This window comes from Homo sapiens, chromosome 9 (genome assembly GCF_000001405.40).
Source record: "Homo sapiens chromosome 9, GRCh38.p14 Primary Assembly".
Taxonomy (NCBI): Eukaryota; Metazoa; Chordata; class Mammalia; order Primates; family Hominidae; genus Homo; species Homo sapiens.
Genome location: NC_000009.12, coordinates 26,876,165 through 26,896,360, shown reverse-complemented (window position 1 = coordinate 26,896,360; position 20,196 = coordinate 26,876,165). Strand labels below are relative to the sequence as shown.

The 20,196-nt window shown below is 40.6% G+C and overlaps 1 protein-coding gene and 2 pseudogenes across 3 annotated transcripts in view, besides 6 other annotated features; 2 read left to right on the top strand and 1 right to left on the bottom strand.

Moving 5' to 3' along the window:
• Positions 391 to 683, bottom strand: RN7SL100P (RNA, 7SL, cytoplasmic 100, pseudogene; annotated as a pseudogene).
• Positions 3,001 to 3,580: an enhancer, noted in NCBI's record as "NANOG-H3K27ac hESC enhancer chr9:26892779-26893358 (GRCh37/hg19 assembly coordinates)". NCBI's record gives its function as "activates a minimal SCP1, AML or CMV promoter by ChIP-STARR-seq in naive H9 embryonic stem cells {active_cell/tissue: H9 hESC(naive)}" and the evidence as "EXISTENCE:reporter gene assay evidence [ECO:0000049][PMID:30033119]".
• Positions 3,330 to 3,399: an enhancer, noted in NCBI's record as "active region_28250". NCBI's record gives its function as "activates an Ori minimal core promoter by ATAC-STARR-seq in GM12878 lymphoblastoid cells {active_cell/tissue: GM12878}" and the evidence as "EXISTENCE:reporter gene assay evidence [ECO:0000049][PMID:35858748]".
• Positions 3,530 to 3,749: an enhancer, noted in NCBI's record as "active region_28249". NCBI's record gives its function as "activates an Ori minimal core promoter by ATAC-STARR-seq in GM12878 lymphoblastoid cells {active_cell/tissue: GM12878}" and the evidence as "EXISTENCE:reporter gene assay evidence [ECO:0000049][PMID:35858748]".
• Positions 3,530 to 4,160: a biological region, named in NCBI's record as "H3K27ac hESC enhancer GRCh37_chr9:26892199-26892778".
• CAAP1 (caspase activity and apoptosis inhibitor 1) overlaps positions 3,559 to 20,196 on the top strand; it is a 52,118-nt gene continuing 35,480 nt past the window's right edge. For 2 of the 3 annotated variants that reach the window (NM_024828.4, XM_047423896.1), the window contains exons 1-4: positions 3,559 to 3,948; positions 8,848 to 9,048; positions 10,173 to 10,257; positions 11,476 to 11,551. In NM_024828.4, coding sequence (NP_079104.3) covers positions 3,646 to 3,948; positions 8,848 to 9,048; positions 10,173 to 10,257; positions 11,476 to 11,551 — 665 coding nt within the window. In that variant the 5' untranslated portion in view covers positions 3,559 to 3,645. Of the gene's footprint in view, positions 4,103 to 8,847; positions 9,049 to 10,172; positions 10,258 to 11,475; positions 11,552 to 20,196 lie in introns of all 3 variants that reach the window. The other variant, NM_001167575.2, reaches the window with a different exon arrangement.
• Positions 3,581 to 4,160: an enhancer, noted in NCBI's record as "H3K27ac hESC enhancer chr9:26892199-26892778 (GRCh37/hg19 assembly coordinates)". NCBI's record gives its function as "activates a minimal SCP1, AML or CMV promoter by ChIP-STARR-seq in naive H9 embryonic stem cells {active_cell/tissue: H9 hESC(naive)}" and the evidence as "EXISTENCE:reporter gene assay evidence [ECO:0000049][PMID:30033119]".
• Positions 3,830 to 4,009: an enhancer, noted in NCBI's record as "active region_28248". NCBI's record gives its function as "activates an Ori minimal core promoter by ATAC-STARR-seq in GM12878 lymphoblastoid cells {active_cell/tissue: GM12878}" and the evidence as "EXISTENCE:reporter gene assay evidence [ECO:0000049][PMID:35858748]".
• Positions 15,812 to 16,183, top strand: H3P31 (H3 histone pseudogene 31; annotated as a pseudogene).

Here is a 20,196-nt window from a genome sequence, read left to right as displayed (position 1 = left end):
TATCATCAAGGTTGGTTTCTGGTGAGGCTTCTCTTCCTGGCTTGTGGATGGCTACCTTCTCACTGTGTCTTCACATGGCCTCTCCTCTGTATGTGGTGAGAAGACAGGGCAGTCTGTTCTTTTCTTTAGAGGCATGGTCTTACTATGTTGTTCAGGGTGGAGTACAGTGGCTATTCACAGCTGTGACCTCATTACTAATCAGCATGGGAGTTTTTGTTTTGTTTTTTGAGATGGAGTCTTACTCTGTTGCTCAGGCTGGAGTGCAGTGGCACCATCTCGGCTCACTGCAACCTCCGCCTCCAGGGTTCAAGCAATTTCTGGCTAATTTTTGTATTTTTAGTAGAGACGGGACTTCACCATGTTGGCCAGGCTGGTCTTGAACTCTTGACCTCAAGTGATCCGCCTGCCTCGGCCTCCCGAAGTGCTAGAATTATAGGTGTGAGCCACCACGCCCAGCCTAGCGTGGGAGTTTTTACCTGTTCCATTTTGGACCTCGGCCAGTTCACCCCCCTTAGACAACCTGGTGGCTTCCACTCCCAAAAGGTCACCATATTAGTGCTGAACTAAGTGCAGACAACTGATCAGTACAGCGCACTACAGCCCAGAATTTCTGGCCTCAAGCAATCCTCCCCAGTTTGCCTCTTGAGTAGCTTGCACTGCAGGCATGCACCACTGTACCAGGCTTTTTTTTTTTTTTTGAGACGGAGTCTTGCTCTGTCGCCCAGGCTGGAGTGCAGTGGTGCGATCTTGGCTCACTGCAAGCTCCACCTCCTGGGTTCACGCCATTCTCTTGCCTCAGCCTCCTGAGTAGCTGGGACTACAGGCGCCTGCCACCACGCCCAGCTAATTTTGTTTTTGTATTTTTAGTAGAGACGGGGTTTCACCGTGTTAGCCAGGATGGTTTCCATCTTCCTCATGATCCACCCGCCTCGGCCTCCTAAAGCACTGGGATTACAGGCGTGAGCCACCATGCCTGGCCCAGACTCTTCTTTTAATAAGGACACCAGTTATATTAGATTAGGGACCCACCCTTATGACTTCATTTAACCTTAATTACCTCCTTAATGACCCTATCTCCAAATTCAGTCACATTGGGGTTAGGGATTCAACATATGAATTCTGTGGGTGATGTTATAGGACCATCAGGTTCTATTAACCACTACATGGTACCAGACCAATACATGGAAACAGCAGGAGTTGCAGCAGAGAAAGAGTTTAATAATGGTATGCCAGCCAAGGGAGAAGATGGGAGGGAACCTCAAATCACCTCCCCAGTAAGTTTTTGGACAGGGGTTTTTAAGGGAATTTTGGTGGGTAGGGGGCTGAGGAGCTAGGGGTTGCTGATTGGTTAGGGCATGGGGGATGTAATCATAAGGAGGTAGAAAGTGCATTCTTGTGCTGAGTTCGTTTCTCAGAAGGGGTCTTCAGACTGAGTAGCATCAGTGACCCCACTGATATGGTTCCAATGACTGGAGGAACACCACAGTCTTTTGTCTCGTGCTGGTTTAAATAAAACGATACAGACACAAGTGGAATTGTTTTAAGGAGCGGAGAATTTAATAGGCAAGAAAGAAGAGGCTCCCTCATACAGAACCAGAGGGAAGAGGGCTCCCAGATGAAAGAGGGAACCTTGGGTGCAGCAGACAAGAGCCAGTTATATTATGAGGCTGGAGGAGGTGGTGACTAATTTGCATATGACCCAGGGAATTGGTTTGACCAGGTATGTCATTCACGTAGCCTGCAAAAAAAGTGGCCCTCCCACCCTAGCCTTTTAATATGCGAATGTAGGGTGCCACAATGTTCTACACATGTGGGGATATGTGGGGATGGCCATGTTGCTAGGCACATGTGGGGACAAGAAGAAGAGGGGAATCGCCATACTGAGTAAACCCAGTTTCTAACGGCCTGCATTTGCATATCATAGCTTGCCAGCCCAGCTTTTTTGCTAGACAAGAAACATTTCTGGAGCTGCTTTAAAAGAAAAAAAACTTCCCAAAGACCCCTTTACCTCTCTATCTGCCTAAAATAATTTCTTAACTTCTGTAACACCATTGGAGTACAGAATCTGGTAAATATCTCAAAATGGAAAACTTGAGATTTCTTAACCGAGTCAAAGATATCTATAAAGCAATAAGCAGCTATAAGGAAGTGGGCTATAGGAAAAGTTGGTTAACGTTTAGCTATGCTTCTACTAAAAGCTTATCTTTTGTCACAAATCCAGCAATTTGGCAGGGCACGATGGCTCACGCCTGTAATCCCAGCACTTTGGGAGGCTGAGGCGGGTGGATCACCTGAGGTCGGGAGTTCGAGACCAGCCTGACCAACATGGAGAAACCCCTTGTCTACTAAAAATACAAAATTAGCCCTGCATGGTGGCGCATGCCTGTAGTCCCAGCTACTCAGGAGGCTGAGGCAGGAGAAATGCTTGAACCCGGGAGGCGGAGGTTGCAGTGAGCCGAGATTGTGCCATTGCACTCCAGCCTGGGCAACGAGAGTGAAACTCCGTCTCAAAAAAAAAAAAAAGAAAAAAGAAAAAATCTAGCAATTTAGTTTTATTAAAATTATGATGGTTTCAGGGACACAATTCATAACAGGTTTATAAATGTAACATGTTATTAATTTTATGTGTTTTTCCTATCTGTGAACACAACACTCTCAATCCTTTCAGGTATGACTCCAATGAGTGTGATACTTAACGGAACTCCTGGGAACACAGTGGGCTCAGCCCCAGGATTTACCTTACAAGGCCAATTTAAGAGTGGGGCCTGGGGGAAGACAGTTTTCCTAGGGCTGGAAGTGTCCCTATTTATTAACCCTAGGCTGGTTTTAGGCATTTAAGTAGTTGTTGAATGACTGAGACAAATAGGAGACAAAGAGAAGGGAAGCTTCTTTAATTGCTTCTTACCCCAGGGAAAGGCACAGAATTACTACCACCCAGCTAGCTTTGCCCCAGGCTCTACCTTTTTCCCTCAGTGGCTAAAGGCCCCTGCTGAAACGACAAAGACCTTGGTTCACGTTTTAAGTGTTCTAGCTCCCTTGTCTTAAAATCTGCCTTCTATTTAGATTACATCCACCCATAAAATCTCATAAAGCTTTGACCCATTCTCAATTTTCAAAAACGAACTCAAGCTCTACTTGTCCATGTCAGACTCTACGCAAGAAATACCTAATTTGCCCAGGTGATGAGGAAAATGAGATGGAACAACTTTTCCCTATTCTCTTTATTGTCATAGCGTTGTTAATATCTTAAGATTTGGAGGTAAACGGAAATGGAGAATCAGCAACTATACTTCAACCTTATTGTAAACAGACAAAACACTAACAATAAAAAGTTTTGAAGTTAAAAGGACGTAAGTTCCACCTTCTATCCTTTGTAGAGATATAAAAACAAAACAAAACAAACTCTGACTAGACAGGCTACCCGCTACACACTCAAATCGACCTCCGCGACCGGAGGGGGAAGCGCAACTGGTTATGGCAACCCCCCTGCCACCCCGGCCCATAACGCTTCACCACGTTCTGTGCCACGGCCGGAAGTGACGCATAACCTGCGACGCCAGTGCCTGCCGCCCACGGCCGCAGGAGTCGGGCTTCGGTCGCACCAGAGACAGCGGACTTTCCTCCGATGGTTGCAGCAGAGGGATCATGACGGGGAAAAAGTCCTCCCGGGAGAAACGGCGCAAACGTAGCAGTCAGGAGGCGGCCGCAGCGCTCGCGGCCCCGGACATCGTACCCGCGTTGGCCAGCGGCAGCAGTGGAAGCACTAGCGGCTGCGGGAGCGCCGGGGGCTGCGGGAGCGTCAGCTGCTGTGGGAACGCCAATTTTAGTGGAAGTGTCACCGGCGGTGGGAGCGGCGGCAGCTGTTGGGGCGGGAGCAGCGTGGAGCGCAGCGAGCGCCGGAAGCGGAGGAGTACCGACTCTTCCAGCGTCTCGGGCTCCTTGCAGCAGGTGCGTGCGCGCCCCTCTGGCCGCTTCCTGGAGCTGCTGCTTTTTCGGAAGAAGTCGGGCTTCCAGAGGGATGGGGCGCAGGCTGGAGCTCACTGCTAGCGCGGCAATCTCAAGGTCGTCCGTCCTTGAGGTTCATGTTCCTACCTAAGTCCTGGTGAGCCCCACACTCCCATCCGTGTCTTGAATCTTGAACTTCAAGTTTCTGGATTTCCTGATCACTTTTTTTTTAATTTATTTTTTAAACTCTTGGCTCCTTCCACTCCTATGGTTTCACTCTGCCGGAAGAATACGAGTTGGAAGCTAGCCTTCATTTCCCTTGCGAGCCAAACACTTCTCCCTTCGTCTTCACCTTTTCGTAGATATGGTTAACTCCGCATTAGAGATAAGAAAATTGAGGCCCAAAGAAGTTAAACTTTACCCACGGTCACAGAGTTTGTTAATAGCTCCTAGGTTTGAATCCAAATATCTGACTACAAAAGCCATGTTCTTTATACGCCACCAGTCTGCCAAGAGAACGCCGTTTTAAAAAAGTTCATAATTTGTTTGAAAACAAATGAATGAATAGGTACTTTAAATTCATTCAATGAGGAAATAAAGGGAAAGCGTCAAGTCCCTTTTCTTGCCCCTCCATTAGTATTTTGATACGCGGCCTCTTTTAATCACTCCTCGTGAGATACGTGTTTTTAAGTTCCTACACTTAAGCTGTATTGTGTTATTCCCGCTGTTGAATACCTGCATTGTTGTGATAGGCTTCTTTATATACGTGGTTTGTTATTTTTACTGACTGCCTGGTATTGTATTATATTTTTCTGATATTTGGGTGTGCAGGTTTTTTTGTATTGTTGTGACTACAATACAAACACCTTTATGTATATATCTCCTACAAGAGTTATGTTGGGAGAGAGTGTGAGAACTGAAATTCCTGGGTCAAAGTTTATGCTATTAAAAACTTATGAATGCCACCAAATGCTTTCCAAATGAGACTTTACAGATTTATAGTCCAAACAGTATATATATAAGAATACCTATTTCTGAGATTCTTAACTAGCTTTTGATGACATTTTGATGGCATTTTTTAAAAAAATTGCCAGACTAGTGGGTCAAATTAATAGTTTGTTTTAATTTTTATTTTCCTTATTAGTGAGATTGAACATTTTAATATTTTTATTTGCCATTTGATTTCTTCTTATGTAATTTTCTGTACATATCCTCTGCTCATTATTCTCTTTGGTAGAGTAGAAACAGTTTATGTAGAGATTTTATCAGGTGGTTTTCTGGCATTCTGTTGAGATGATCACATACTTTTTCTCCTTTAGTCAGATAATGTAATTTGTTGATAAGTTAGTTGATGTTGAACAGTCTTTGGAGTCTTGGGACAAGTGCTGTTTGGTTTGTTGAGTTTGTTGTACTTGGCTGGAATTCAGTATTTTTACTTTCATGTATGTGTTTCTTTTTTTTTGTTTTTTTTGAGACGGAGTCTCGCTCTGTTGCCCAGGCCGGAGTGCAGTGGCGTGATCCCGGCTCACTGCAAGCTCCGCCTCCCGGGTTCAGGCCATTCCCCTGCCTCAGCCTCCCGAGTAGCTGGGACTGCAGGCGCCCGCCACGACGCCCAGCTAATTTTTTGTATTTTCAGTAGAGACGGGGTTTCACCGTGTTAGCCAGGATGGTCTTGATCTCCTGACCTCGTGATCCACCCGTCTCGGCCTCCCAAAGTGCTGGGATTACAGGCGTGAGCCACCGTGCCCGGCCAACTTTTATGTATATGTTTCTAAATTAGATCAGACTGTAGTTTTTATTTTTGTAATGGATTGAATTAGGAAGCTTTGTGTTTTTTTGGTGTGTTCTAGAATGGTTTATATTTTCTTCTCAAATATTTGTCAGAAGTATCTGGGTCTAGTGGAGTTTTTTAGAGTGATTTTTTAAGACACTCTTTAAAAAAATTATTTAATATAGATCTATTCAGTTTTCCCACCCCTTCTAGATTCAGTTTTGGATATTACCATTCTTATTTTAAATAGTTTCCTTTTTTTTTTTCTTTTTTTGAGATAGGCTCTCACTGTGTCGCCCAGGCTGGAGTGCAGTGGCACCATCTCAGCCCACTGCAACCTCCGCCTGCCAGGTTCAAGTAATTGTCCTGGCTCAGTCTCCTGAGTAGCTGGGATTACAGGTGCCCGCCACCATGGCCAGCTAATTTTTGTATTTTTAATAGAGGTAAGGTTTTCACCATGTTGGTCAGGCTGGTTTCCAACTCCTGACCTCAGGTGATCCACTCGTCTCAGCCTCCCAAAGTGCTGGGATTACAGGCGTGAGCCACCGCGCCTGACCAGTTTCCCACTCCGTTATGATGGGGAGACCAACAACACTGGTCAATTGAATATTGAAAACATTTTGCGTACAGAACTAAACCCATCTTCTAATGAAAAATTAGTGTATTTGTGAAGAAAAGGTCATTGCATATTAGGCATGTAGATAACATTTCAAACTTTAGAGAGTGCCATTATATCTGTTGTGTATTGAGGTTCCTTTTTTTTTTTTTTTTTTTTTTGAGACAGAGTCTCGCTCTGTCGCCCAGGCTGGAGTGCAGTGGCGTGATCTCGGCTCACTGCAAGCGCCGCCTCCTGGGTTCACGCCATTCTCCTGCCTCAGCCTCCAGAGTAGCTGGGGCAACAGGCCTCTGCCACAACGCCCAGTTAATGCTTTTGTATTTTTAGTAGAGACAGGGTTTCACCGTGTTAGCTAGGATAGTCTAGATCTCCTGACCTTGTTATCTGCCCCCCTCAGCCTCCCACCTCGGCCTCCCAAAGTGCTGGGATTACAGCTGTGAGCCACTCTGCCCGGCCGAGTTCCCTATTTTCTTGGGAAGAACTTTATTGAAATGTAGTTGACATACTGTGCAATTCACCCATTTCACATGTACAGTTAAGTGATTTTGTATATATTCAGAGTTGTACAACCGTCACTACAGTCAGTTTTTGTTTTTGTTTTTGTTTTTTTGAGATAGAGTTTCCCTCTTGTTGCCCAGACTGGAGTGCAATGGCGCCATCTCGGCTCACTGCAACCTCCGCCTCCTGGGTTCAAGCAATTCTTCTGCCTCAGCCTCCCGAGTAGTTGGGATTACAGGCACCCGCCTCCACACCCAGCTAATTTTTCTGTTTTTTATTAGACACGGGGTTTCACCATGTTGGCCAGGCTGGTCTCGAACAGCTGACCTCAGGTGATCCGTTCGCCTCAGCCTCCCAAATTGCTGGGATTACAGGCGTGAGCCACCGCGCCGGCCTAGTCAGTTTTAAAATATTTTCATCACTCCAGAAAGCAACCTTATGTGTAACGTTTAGTTTATATAATATGTGGTGTTTTGTGTCTGGCATCTTTTACTTAACATAATGTTTTTAAGATTCATCCATGTTGTAGCACATAGGGTTCATTCCTTTGTATCACAGAGATTCATGCCTTTTTATGGTTACTATACCACATTTTGTTTTGTTTTTGTATAGCTGTACATATGTACCACATACGTATAGATAACGCTATACAGCATTTCATTTTTCCATTTATCACTTGATGGGCATTTGTGTTGTTTCTGCCTTTTGGCTATATGAATAATGCTGTTAAGAACAAGTACAAGTTTTTGTGTAGACATATCGTTACATTTCTCTTGGGTATATATCTAGCAATGGAATTGCTGGGTCATATGGTAACTTTTTGAGGAACTGCCAAATTAGCTTCCAAAGTAGCTGCACAATTTTATATTCCTGCTAACAGTGTATGAGGATTCCAGTTTCTCTACATTATTACATTGTAAACTGTTAGAACAAGTGCTGATTCTTTTACTTTTTCAGTCTAATTATCATAGTGTTCATTAAAACTGACCCATTTTAAAACTGCTTTGTAAACAACTATCTGACCTCTGTGGTCAGGGAAGATTTTCCAGAGGAAATGACTGTTGAATTGTCTGAAGTATCTGAATTTGTTAATCTTGTGAATATAGTGTGATAGATAAAGGAGGGAGGAAAGACTGTCATAGGAAAATGGTATGCAAAAGCCCTGCTTCTATGAGCTGAAGGAAGGAGAATAGGTTACAGTCGAGTAATTCAAAGAAGATTGTGTCCTAAACACAAAGAATGAGCATGAAGGCCAGGTAGGCCATATTACCTTAGGAGCAATGGGAATTCATTGAAGAGTTTTAAACAAGAAGGATGAGTACGTATACATTTTATAAAATCCATTCTGCTAACAGTGTACAAAACAAAGAGACCTCAGATTAGATGCAGGGAGTCCCATTAAATGGCTATTGGTGTAACCCAGGCAAAAAATTGTGGTAGTTTGGAACAGAATTATGGCAGTAGATTTGGAGAGACTGGATAGAGTTGGGAGACAGAAAGTAAAATGGACAGAAATATCTTAAATTACTGAAATTACTTGGTTACTTTGATTATGATTATAAAGTTTTAAAAATGATGATAGCTCCTGGTACGTATGTTACTTTTCTGTATAATATTTGTGATTTGTAACATCTTTACTTCAATTTATTTATATGAATTTAAGTACAGTGATAATGCATACATAGAGCTTTTGGGTGAATGGCCTTTTAGGGGAAAATCCTAATTCTTCAAAAGTCTAAAATTTTAAGAAATTATTCAATATTTACTATACTTTTGTTTGTGTATCCTAAATATCTCTTCCCTTATAGCTACTCCTTGAGTTAATTGCAGTGTGGAGAGAAAAATCAAGTAATATTAAACAGATATTCTCTCCTATGGTTTTGATAAATAATTATGCAAAGAATTTGGGAATTTTTGATGAAGAAGAATTTATTAAATGAAAACGTATGATGTCATGTACGTATTCTTTATATTTTAAGTAGTATTGTTTAATGGTTCTTTATTCTTTTAACTTTAGGAAACTAAATATATTTTGCCAACTTTGGAAAAAGAATTATTCTTGGCAGAGCACAGTGACCTTGAAGAAGGTGGACTGGACCTGACTGTGTCATTGAAACCAGTTAGTTTCTATATATCAGACAAAAAAGAAATGCTTCAGCAGTGCTTCTGTATTATAGGAGAGAAAAAGTTACAGAAGATGCTTCCTGATGTGTTAAAGGTACTTCATTACACATCAGACTAGATACATATGTAGAAATACAGCCTTCTTTGTAGCAATTTTTTGTTTTACTTAATGCGGTTTTGTTTGTTTGTTTTTTTGAGACGGAGTCTTGCTCTGTCGCCCAGGCTGGAGTGTGGTGGCGTGATCTTGGCTCACTGCAACCTCCGCCTCCCGGGTTCAAGCAATTCTCTTGCCTCAGCCTCCTGAGTAGCTGGGACTACAGGCATGAACCACCATGCCCGGCTAATTTTTGGATTTTTAAGAGACGGGGTTTCACCGTGTTGGCCAGGCTGGTCTCGAACTCCTGACCTCGTGATCTGCCCACCTTGGCCTCCCAAGGTGTTGGAATTACAGGTGTGAGCCACCGTGCCTGGCGTTAATGCAGTTTTTAATTGGATGTTTACATCTAAAATAAGCTACTTGAAAAGATTTTGTAAAATAGAGAACCATAATATATTTGGTTCTTGGAGCCTTGTATATTTAAAAATTTGCCACGAAGAAATGTTTAGGCAAGAAATGTGTTGACTCTGTGGAGATAATTCTGTTAAATGCAGGGAATGATAGTAACTAAATTGGACATACAATCTTTATGGTGCTTTAAGAAATAATGTCACAATATGCTGCTGTGTAACAACAAACAGCAATGGTTAATAATAGCTTATATTTCATTAGATTCACAAGTATTTTTATTTATTTTTGAAAATTATTTAGGGAAATATTTGTTGTTTTAATTTTACAGTTGTAGAAATTGGCCTTGGTCACTAAAGTTAAGCCTGAGATCATATATCTAAAGATACAAGACTTGAATATTTAAACCTTTAGAATAATTACTTAACATAAATAGACTGCTTAAGAATAGCTGGGAAACTGACTCACTCTTTAGTTTTTTTCTTTGATAGTAAATACAAGTTTATGCATTCCCTTCAAATATGCAGTGTTCACATATTAACTGGCAGTTTTTCAGATTTCATCCCAGGAAAAGATGTATGTGAATCTACTTGAGGCTTTAATTTATTTTATTGTAAGATTTTGCTAACTTAAATTTTTATGATTGAAATTTTCCAGTTTACATTGGGGCTGTGTTACATAAATGCATTTTTTTAAAATGTCATTTCCTTTAGAACTGTTCAATAGAAGAAATTAAAAAACTATGCCAGGAACAGTTAGAGCTCCTGTCTGAAAAAAAAATTTTGAAGATTCTTGAGGGTAAGAATACATATTTTTACATTCTGGCAACTTCTTAGTTAATACTATATTCAGCATAAATCCTGAGGTATTCTTTCTCCTACTTGGATATTTAATTTCATTATTGGGTTGTTGTTGAAGAGTATTTTTACTTCTATTTGCACTAAAAAATATAGTTTACATATCAGAAAAGCGTTTCAAGAATAGACAATATATTGTTTTTCCAGGTCAAGTGTATATAGGTAAGAGTATAACTAATAAAATGAAATAAAAAATGTTTACCAAAAATCTGTAAAAAAATTAATTATTGGAAAGGCAAAGATTTCCCTTAAAATCTTTTTAATTTTCTGCTTTAGATTTTTTATAGTGTTTAGTCACCTATTGCATATTGTTTACTCTCTAATAAGACCCAGATATAGAGTTAGAATACTTCCATGCAATTTACCAATATTTGTTTGTCTGCCTGTAGTGTGACTACTCTTGGTGATACTCACACCTCTAGAATTTTGGATTATCAGGCATTTTTTTTTTCTTTTGGGACTTTGCAAGGATTTTAGCTTTAACATGACAGAAGAAGAAACAAAAATTGGAGCCTTTCAGTTTCCAGTGATAGCTTCATTTTTAAATGTAAAATTGATGGCATTTTGTAACTCTGGAAATAGATATATACATATGTACATAGTGTGTAAGTGTATATACACACATTGTTGTCTGTATACATTTATATAATAGAGAAAAAGAAGTCAATGAGGCCGGGCGCGATGGCTCACGCCTGTAATCCCAGCACTTTGGGAGGCTGAGGCGGGCGGATCACAAGGTCAGGAGTTCGAGACCAGCTTGGCCAACATAGTGAAACCCCGTCTCTACTAAAAATACAAAAATTAGCCGGGCGTGGTGGCGGGCGCCTGTAGTCCCAGCTGCTCGGGAGGCTGAGGCAGGAGAATTGCTAGAACCCGGGAGGTGGAGGTTGCAGTGAGCCGAGGTCATGCCACTGCACACCAGCCGGGGTGACAGTGTGACACTCCGTCTAAAAAAAAAAAAAAAAAAAAAGCAATGAGAAATACCTAATAAGGCATTGAAAAAATTATTTTAAATACAAGCAATTAAAAATTTAAGTTTTGACCCAGTATAAAGTTCTTTAATCTGCATCACTTTTAAAGATTATACTTTTTAATGTCATGATTGCATCATTTTAATGTTTTTATAAGTGTGCTTTCAATAGTTTCTTTCATTTATAAGGTGACAATGGAATGGACTCTGATATGGAAGAGGAAGCAGATGATGGTTCTAAGATGGGATCTGATTTAGTCAGTCAGTAAGTTTAAAAACTTTCATTTTTATTTCAAAATTTCTTTGTTATTCCTTTGGTGATTTCTTATGTCAAAGATATGATTGTTTTTCTGTGTTTTATTTATAAAATCATTCAGTGGTATAGAAAGATTTATTTGTCTACTTGTAATGATTGGTCCTTTTGGTATATGTGAGGATGGAGTTAACTACTTTCAGGATTAAGATGATTTTTTAAAACTACTCCACATAGATACAGAACAATAGCAGTGCCAACCTGAAGCAGAATCACTCCCATTTGGATTTTGAATACACTATTCACGATCCTCACTATTTATTTATTAAGCACTTACTCTACCAGGTACTACATTAAACAGCATAGAACACTTGATCTCATTACAATAATCTATGTATTTATTAATATTAGGCAATAATAGCCTCATTTCACAGAAGAGATAGTTATGTTCATGTAAGTCTGCATATTTTACCTATAAATGTATATTATTTGACTGTCGGGATGATAAAAAAAATACCTGAAGTTTTGGGATGCTGACTAATCAAGAAGCTACATGCTAATTATTAGTTTTTTCTTCATTAGTGCACTTCAAAGTTTCACCTTTTAATTTGAGCATCTATTGATGCTATTTGCTTAAAACAATTAACTATTTTGGTAGTTTCCAAATAATGACTTGTTCTTTGCAAAGCTTAGCATTTTTCCTGAAGAATATAAGAGATTTGTGCTAGATCTGAAAAAGATAAAGTATAAAAGAAAAATAAATACTTGTGTCACAGGCAGTAGTACACGTAAGAAGAGGTTACCAGGGGCAGTAGCATAGAGAAGTACATAGTTAACCAGAAATACAGAATTTTTTCATAAATGCTATTGGGTAGGAGTGTTATAGGGTAATTTATATGAAAACATAGAGTAGAAAATGTACACATTTTTAATGTCTTACTATTGGCGTTCCTGCAACATACTTAGCTTTAGATCATTTATGTAGTATACTAATTTAGTTCCACTAGTTTAAGCATTTACAAGGCCTGTTAACTTTTTAATATTTTAAAGTTTCTTAAATTATCTAAATTAATCACTTTGTTTCTTTTTTAAAAAATTTCTTTGCCCCATTCCCCACGTTGATCAACATTTTGTTTCTTGATGCTACTTACAGAGAATCCTGAATTGAGCTTTTGCTTGATTATATTTGTTATCCCTTTTTAAAAATCTATTATTTTTTTCCAGTTTTTGAGGTGCCATTAGGCTTAAGTGCTTTGCTTCTTCATACTTGAGCATTAGTGTTACCTTTTCAACTGTTAGAAGCCATTTAATGATGTATTAGTCTGTTTTCATGTTGCTGATAAAGACATACCCAAGACTGGGTAATTTATAAGGAAAAAGAGATTTAATGGATTCATAATTCCACATGACTGGGGATGCCTCACAATCATGGTGGAAGGTGAAAGGTGCTTCATACATGGCGGCAGCAAGAGAGAATGAGGGAACCAAGTGAAAGATCTGATGGATCTAAAACCACCCCCATGATTCAGTTATCTCCCACTGGTTCCCTTCCACAACATGTAAGAATTATGGGAGCTGTAATTCCAGATGAGATTTGGGTGGAGACACAGCCAAACCGTATCATTCTGCCCCGGCCCCTTCCAAATCTCATGTCCTCACATTTGAAAAACGAATCATGCCTTTCCAACAGTCCCCCAAAGTCTTAACTCATTTCAGCATTAACTCAAAAGTCTACAGTCCAAAGGCTCATCTGAGACAAGGCAAGTCCCTTCCGCCTATGAGCCTGTAAAATCAAAAGCAAGTTAGTTACTTCCTAGATATAATGGGGATACAGGCATTGGATAAATACACCCCTTCCAAATGGGAGAAATTGGCCAAAATGAAGGAGCTACAGGCCCCATGCAAGTCTGAAATCCAGCGAGGCAGTCAAATTTTAAAGCTCCAAAATGATCTCTTTTGACTCCATGTCTCACATCCAGGTCACACTGATGCAAATGGTAGGTTTCCATGGTCTTGGAAAGCCCCGCGCCTGTTTCTTTGTAGGGTACAGCCTCCCTCCTAGCTGCTTTCACATGCTGGTGTTGAGTGTCTGAGGCTTTTCCAGGTGCACGGTGCAAGTTGTCAGTGAATATACCCTTCTGGGGTCTGGGGGACGGTGGCCCTCTTCTCACAGCTCCACTAGGGCAGTGCGCCAATGAAGACTGTGTGTGGAGGCTTCAACCCCACATTTCCCTTCTGCACTGCCCTAGCAGAGATTCTCTATGAGAGCCCCGCCCCTGCAGCTAACTTCTGCCTGGACATGTAGGTGTTTCCATACATCCTCTGAAATCTAGGTGGAGATTCCCAAACCTCCTGCAGGTGCACAGTTCTTGACTTCTATGCAACTGCAGGCTCAACCCCACATGGAAGCTGCCAAGGCTTGGGTCTTGTGCCCTCTGAAGCACCAAGTCCCTAGGGTACACATAGCAGGGGAGCCCTGAGCCTGGCCCATGAAACCATTTTTCCCTCCTAGGCCTCCAGGCCTGTGATGGGAGGGACTGCCATGAAGACCTCTGACATTTTCCCCATTGTCTTGGCGATTAACATTGGGCTGCTCGTTACTTATGCAAATTTTTGCAGCCTGCTTGATTTTTCTCCTCAGAAAATGGGTTTTTCTTTTCTGTAGCATTGGCAGGCTGCAAATTTTCTGAACTTTTACGCTCTGTTTCCCTTTTAAAACTGAATGCTTTTAATAATACCCACATACCTCTTGAATGCTTTGCTGCTTAGAAATTTCTTCCACCAGATACCCTAAATCATCTCCCTCAAGTTCAAAGTTCCACAAATCTCTAGCTCAAGGGCAAAATGCTGCCAGTCTCTGCTAAAATATAGCAAGAGTCACCTTTACTCCAGTTCCCAACAAGTTTCTCATCTCCGTCTGGAACCACCACACCCTGGATTTCCTTGTCCATATCATTATCAGCATTTGGTCAAAGCCATTTAACAAGTTTCTAGGAAGTTCCAGACTTTCCCACATTTTCCTGTCTTCTGGGCCCTCCAAATTGTTCTAACCTCTGCCTGTTATCCAGTTCCAAAGTTACTTTCACATTTTCGTGTATTTGTACAGCAGTGCCCCACTCTACTGGTACCAATTTACTGTATTAGTCTGTTTTCACACTGCTAATAGAGACATAACTGAGACTGGGTAATTTATAAGGAAAAAGAGGTTTACTGGACTCACAGTTCCATATGGCTGAGGAGGCCTCACAGTCATGGTGGAAGGCAAAAGGCGCTTCTTATATGGCGGCAGCAAGAGAGAATGAGGGAACCAAGCAAAAGGGGTTTCCCCTTATAAAACCATCAGATCTTGTGAAACTTACTTCCACCAGAAGAGTATGGGAGAAACTGCCCCCATGATTCAGTGATCTCCCACCAGGTTGCTCCTACAATATGTGGGAATTATGGGAACTACAATTCAAGTTGAAACTTGGGTGGGGACACAGCAAAAGTATATCAAATGGATAGCCAATTATAGTAGCTATTTAACTTTTTATAACGATTACAACAACGACTGTGCATGGTGGTTCACACCTGTAATACCAGCACTTTGTGAGTACAGGTTGAGAGGATCACCTGAGGCTGGGAGTTTGAGACCAGCCTGGGCAACATAGTGAGACCCTGTCTCTACAAAAAATTAAATTAGATGGGGTCTTGCTGTGTTACCCAGGTTGATGTTGAATTTGTGGCCTCAAACTGTCCTCCCACCTCAGCATCCCAAAGCATGGGTGACTCAATTTTGATTTTTAGTTAATGTTTTTTCTAAAGTTATGGAATAGGATTTAAGGTTTAAAGATGAAAGAAAGAGAGGGCTTGGCACACTTGCTTATGCCTGTAATCACAGCACTTTGGAAGACTAAGGTGGTTGGATCACTTGAGGTCAGGAGTTTGAGACCAGCGTGGCCAACATGATGAAACCCGGTCTCCACTAAAAATACAAAAATTAGCCAGGCATGGTGATGTGTGCCTGTAATCCCAGCTACTTGGGAGGCTGAGGCAGGAGAGTCACTTGAACCCAGGAAATGGAGGTTGCAGTGAGCCAAAATCCCACAACTGCACTCCTGGGTGACAGAGCAAAACTCCATCTCAAAAAATAAATAAAGAAAGAAAGATGACAGGTTTTCACAACTTCTGCTGTACTGCTGACCCACTGTGACTCTCCAAGGCTGGTGCCATCTCTAGCTCACTGAACTCTAGGTGAAGGAAAAGGGGACTAAGTAAGGAGGTTGCTATATGGTGGCTCCTACAAAGCAGACTGCTTGCACATTAACTGGTGGTAAAGCATCCAGGAAGCAACTGACTACAAAGGCTGCTTACAAGAGTGCACCCTCTCCTGGAGTGGTGAAGAAACCTCATTGTTACAGGCCTGGTACTGTGGCACTCCATGAAATCAGTTGTTTCTGGAAGTCCACTGAACTTCTGAATCACACACTTCCCTTCCACGGTCTGGCTTGAGAAATTGCTCAGGACTTCAAATCAGACCAGTGCGTCCAGAGCGCAGCTATTGGTGCTTTGCGGGAGGCAAGTGAGGCCTATCTGGTTGTCCTTTTTGAAGACACCAGCCTGTGTGCTGTCCATGCCAAATGTATAACAATTATGCCAAAAGACACCCCGTGAGTGTGGAGAACATCCTTTTAAGAAACCACTGTGATGGGAAACATTACATTCTCTAAAAGAGACCCCCCCCCCCCGGATTTTTTTCCTATTATTGGTAGTTTTGAGCTTATTTTTTTGCCATAGAGTCAAAAGATACCTGTATTAGTCGGGGTTCTCTAGAGGGACAGAACTAATAGGATATATGTATATGTGAAAGGGAGTTTATTAAGGAGAATTGAGTCACACGATCACAAGGTAAAGTCCCACAATAGGCTGTCTGCAGGTTGAGAAGCACGGAAGCCAATGGTGGATCAGTCCAAGTCCCAAAACCTCAGAAGTAGGGAAGCCGACAGTGCAGTCCTCAGTCTGGGGCCAAAGGCCGAGAGCCCCTGGCAAACACTGGCATAAGTCCAAGAGTCTAAAAACTGAAGAACCTGGAGTCTGATGTTCAAGGGCATCCAGCATGGGAGAAAGATGAAGCCTGGAAGACTCAGCAAGTCTACTCTTACATCTTTTCCTGCCTGCTTTATTCTAGCTGTGCTGGCAGCTGATTAGATGGTGCCCACCGATTGAGGATGGGTCTGCCTCTCCCAGTCCACTGACTCAAATGTTAATCTCCTTTGGCAACACCCTCACAGACATACCCAGGAACAATACTTTGCATCCTTCAATCCAATCAAGTTGACACTTAATAACCATCACAGTACCTAAGTATATGATTGTTAGTGAAAAAATAGGGGATAGAAATCAATTATTTCCAGTTTTTCCATTTTTATTCATGTGTGAATTTTTAACGTAAATTCAGGGACGTAAAGCATTAATGCAAGTCAGAATATTTCAGTGAACAAGTTTCAGTGGTTCAACTTTATAATTATAAATAAATCTGTTAAAATGTTCTGGAAAAAAATGACATCATAAACAGCAGTTTTGCCCTTCTTAGAATTTACTACAAAGCAACAACAAAAATAAACAGAAATAGAAATTATCTTGGATGAAATTAGGAGATATCCTTAACTTCAAATCACTTTGAGGAGCTATTCTTAAATGCAGTGATTTTCAAGTAATGTCATGGAAAGATACCTGTGGAAAACTTCCATGTATACAAATCTCAAAGAATCAGTGTACATTTCTCCAAAGTCAGAGGAAGAGATTCAGGGAAGAAGGAAACTTGAATGTTGCTCCTTTTTTCTTTGACTAATAAGCATGTAGTGTATCTGTTTCTCCAAAGTAAGATGGATGTTGGTTGCAGGTAAGATTTTGGCTTCTTGGGAATCTTGGCAAAGATAATAACTACAAAGTGTTTACTTTGGGCTGGATAGGTACTTATTGATTTGCATTGAAGATCCTAGAGGAAAGCGTTGGATTTTTTTTTTTTTAGACACTGTCTCACTCTGTCCCCCAAGCTGGAGTACGGTGTGCAGTCTTGGCTCACTGAAGCCTCTGTCTCCCATGCTCAAGCGATCCTCCCACCTTGGCTTCCCAAACTGCTGGGACTAGAGGCTTAAGCCACCATGCCTGGCCAAAGTGGTGGAACTTGGTTTACTGAGGTCTGAGAACTGTGTGGAAGTGGAGGAAGATGGAGAATGGGAAGGGGAAAGTTAACATGTATCTTGTGTGAATATGCCTGGTTTCTTTCATTTTATAAGTTGAAGATAGAATTGAATGGGCCAGCTGTTTCCTGTCTCTGAGTCTGGGAGAACCTGAAAAAACTGGGGAGTAGATATCTCAAAGTATAGTGGTTTACTTCTTCATTGTGGATCTGTGGAGGGAGAGACTGCTTTGCTTTCTGCCAGTTTTGGAGTAGCTACTAAACCTGAGCGCCAAGGAATTGACCATAATGACCATATACATAAACACATGCATGAATACATATATAACATCTTTAAAGGATCTTGATATCTAGAGAGAAGATTACTTGAAAGAAACAAAGCACATGCCAAGCTAAATTAAGCTGTTAGAGGAATGAACAATTGCAGGGAATAAAATGAGCTCTTATAAAAAATCAAGTGCAGCATGAAGAATTATTCTTGGGCTGGAAAATATGATTTTTTAAACTAAATTCTGTAAGTTAATCAGAATAGGGGATTGTTACCATTAAGTCCCAAATTAGATCCCTGAAAGAATGGATTCACAAAGCAAAAATATGAAAGATGGAAATCATAAGAGAAAATAGTCGAGTAAGTTAGAAGGCTTTATCATCCTCATGTATAATAAGTAGGAATCCTAGAAAGAGAAAATGAAACATAGAAAGGAGAGGTAAAATACTAAAACATTAAGAAATTATTAAATAATAATTTAATAATATAGGAAATTTTTCCTGTGTAATAAATATAGGAAAATATAACAAATATAGGAAATATATGTAATAAATACAGGAAAATTTTTCTGACCTGAAAAACAAATTTAAGTCTTCAAATTGAAAGTGCTCACTGAGTTCTAGGCAGGATTGCAGGGAAAAAATAACATGGAAGCAGATTTTTTTTTATTAAGTGAAAAATTTAGCAGCCTTCCAGTCAACAGAACACATCAAAGAAGGAAAAGGATCAGATTTTTCATCCACAACACCAGAAACTGTAATAAGATAATGGAGTAACATGTTCATACAACTGAAATTGAACCCTTGCTCCTATACTTGGTCAAGATACCATTCATTTGTTGGGTGAAAGAAGGATGCAGATAGGCAGGAATGTAGAGATGATATACGCATGTACTCATCTGAGGAAAATACAGTCATGTGACACTTAATAATGAGGAATTGCACTGAGAGATGTATAGTTAGGTGATTTGTTGTGCAAACGTCATAGAGTACACTTATACAAACCTAGATGTTACAGGTTCAGTATCCTTTATTGGAAATGCTTGGGGCCAGAAATGTTTTGGATTTCAGATTTTTTTTTCAGATTTTGGAATATTTGCATATACATACTGATATCTTGGGGATGGACCCAAGTCTAAACATTAAATTCATTTATGTTTCATATACATCTTGATACATGTAGTCCGAAGGTAATTTTATACAATATTTATTTATTAAACAAATTTTTTTAGAGGCAGGTCTCGCTCTTTTGCCCATGCCGGAGTGCAGGTACATAGCTCACTGTAGCCTCAAACTCCTGGGCTCAAGTGATCCGCCTCAGCTTCCCAAGCAGCTGGGACTATAGGCCTGTGTTACCATCCCTGGCTTACTTTTAAATTTTTTGTAGAGACAGGGTCTCACTATGTTGTCCAGGCTGGTCTTGAACTCCCAGCCTCAAGTGATCTTCCCACCTTGGACTCCCAAAGTGCTAGGATTACAGACATGAGCCACTGCACCCAGCCAATTGTATAAAATTAAAGTATTAAACTTCTATGCACCTGCCACAAGAGGTCAGGTGTGGAATTTCCCACTTGTGGCATTATGTTGGTGCTCAAAAAATTTCATATTTTGGAGCATTTTGGATTTCGGATCAGATTAGGGATGCTTAAACTATAGCCTGCTACATACCTAGGCCATATGATATAGCCTCTTATTCCTAGGCTCCAAACCTGTACAGCATGTTATTGTAGTGAATACTGTAGACAATTGTGGTACAGTGGTAAGTATTTATGTATCCAAATATTATCTAAACATAGAAAAGGTACAATAAATGATACACCTGTACAGGGCACTTACCAATACAGAAGCATGACCATTTATATAGAAAGTTTTAAGGAATCTCAAAAAAAAAAAAAAAAAAACCTTCTAGAATGCATATATGATAGAATAATGACCTCCCCCTCACCCAAGACATATCCAGATTTTAATTCCCAGAATCTGTGAATATGTACTTTCAAAAGACAAAAGAGACTTTGCTGATGTGATTGATTAAGTTAAGGATCTTGAGATGGGAAGACTTCTGGATTATCAAGGTGAGACCAGTATAATCATGAGGATCCTTATAAGAGGGAGATAAGACAGTCGAAGTCAAGAGATGCTGGAAGCAGAGATTAAAATGATGTGCTTGGAAGATGGAGGAAGGATCCACAAGCCAGGGAATATAGGCTAC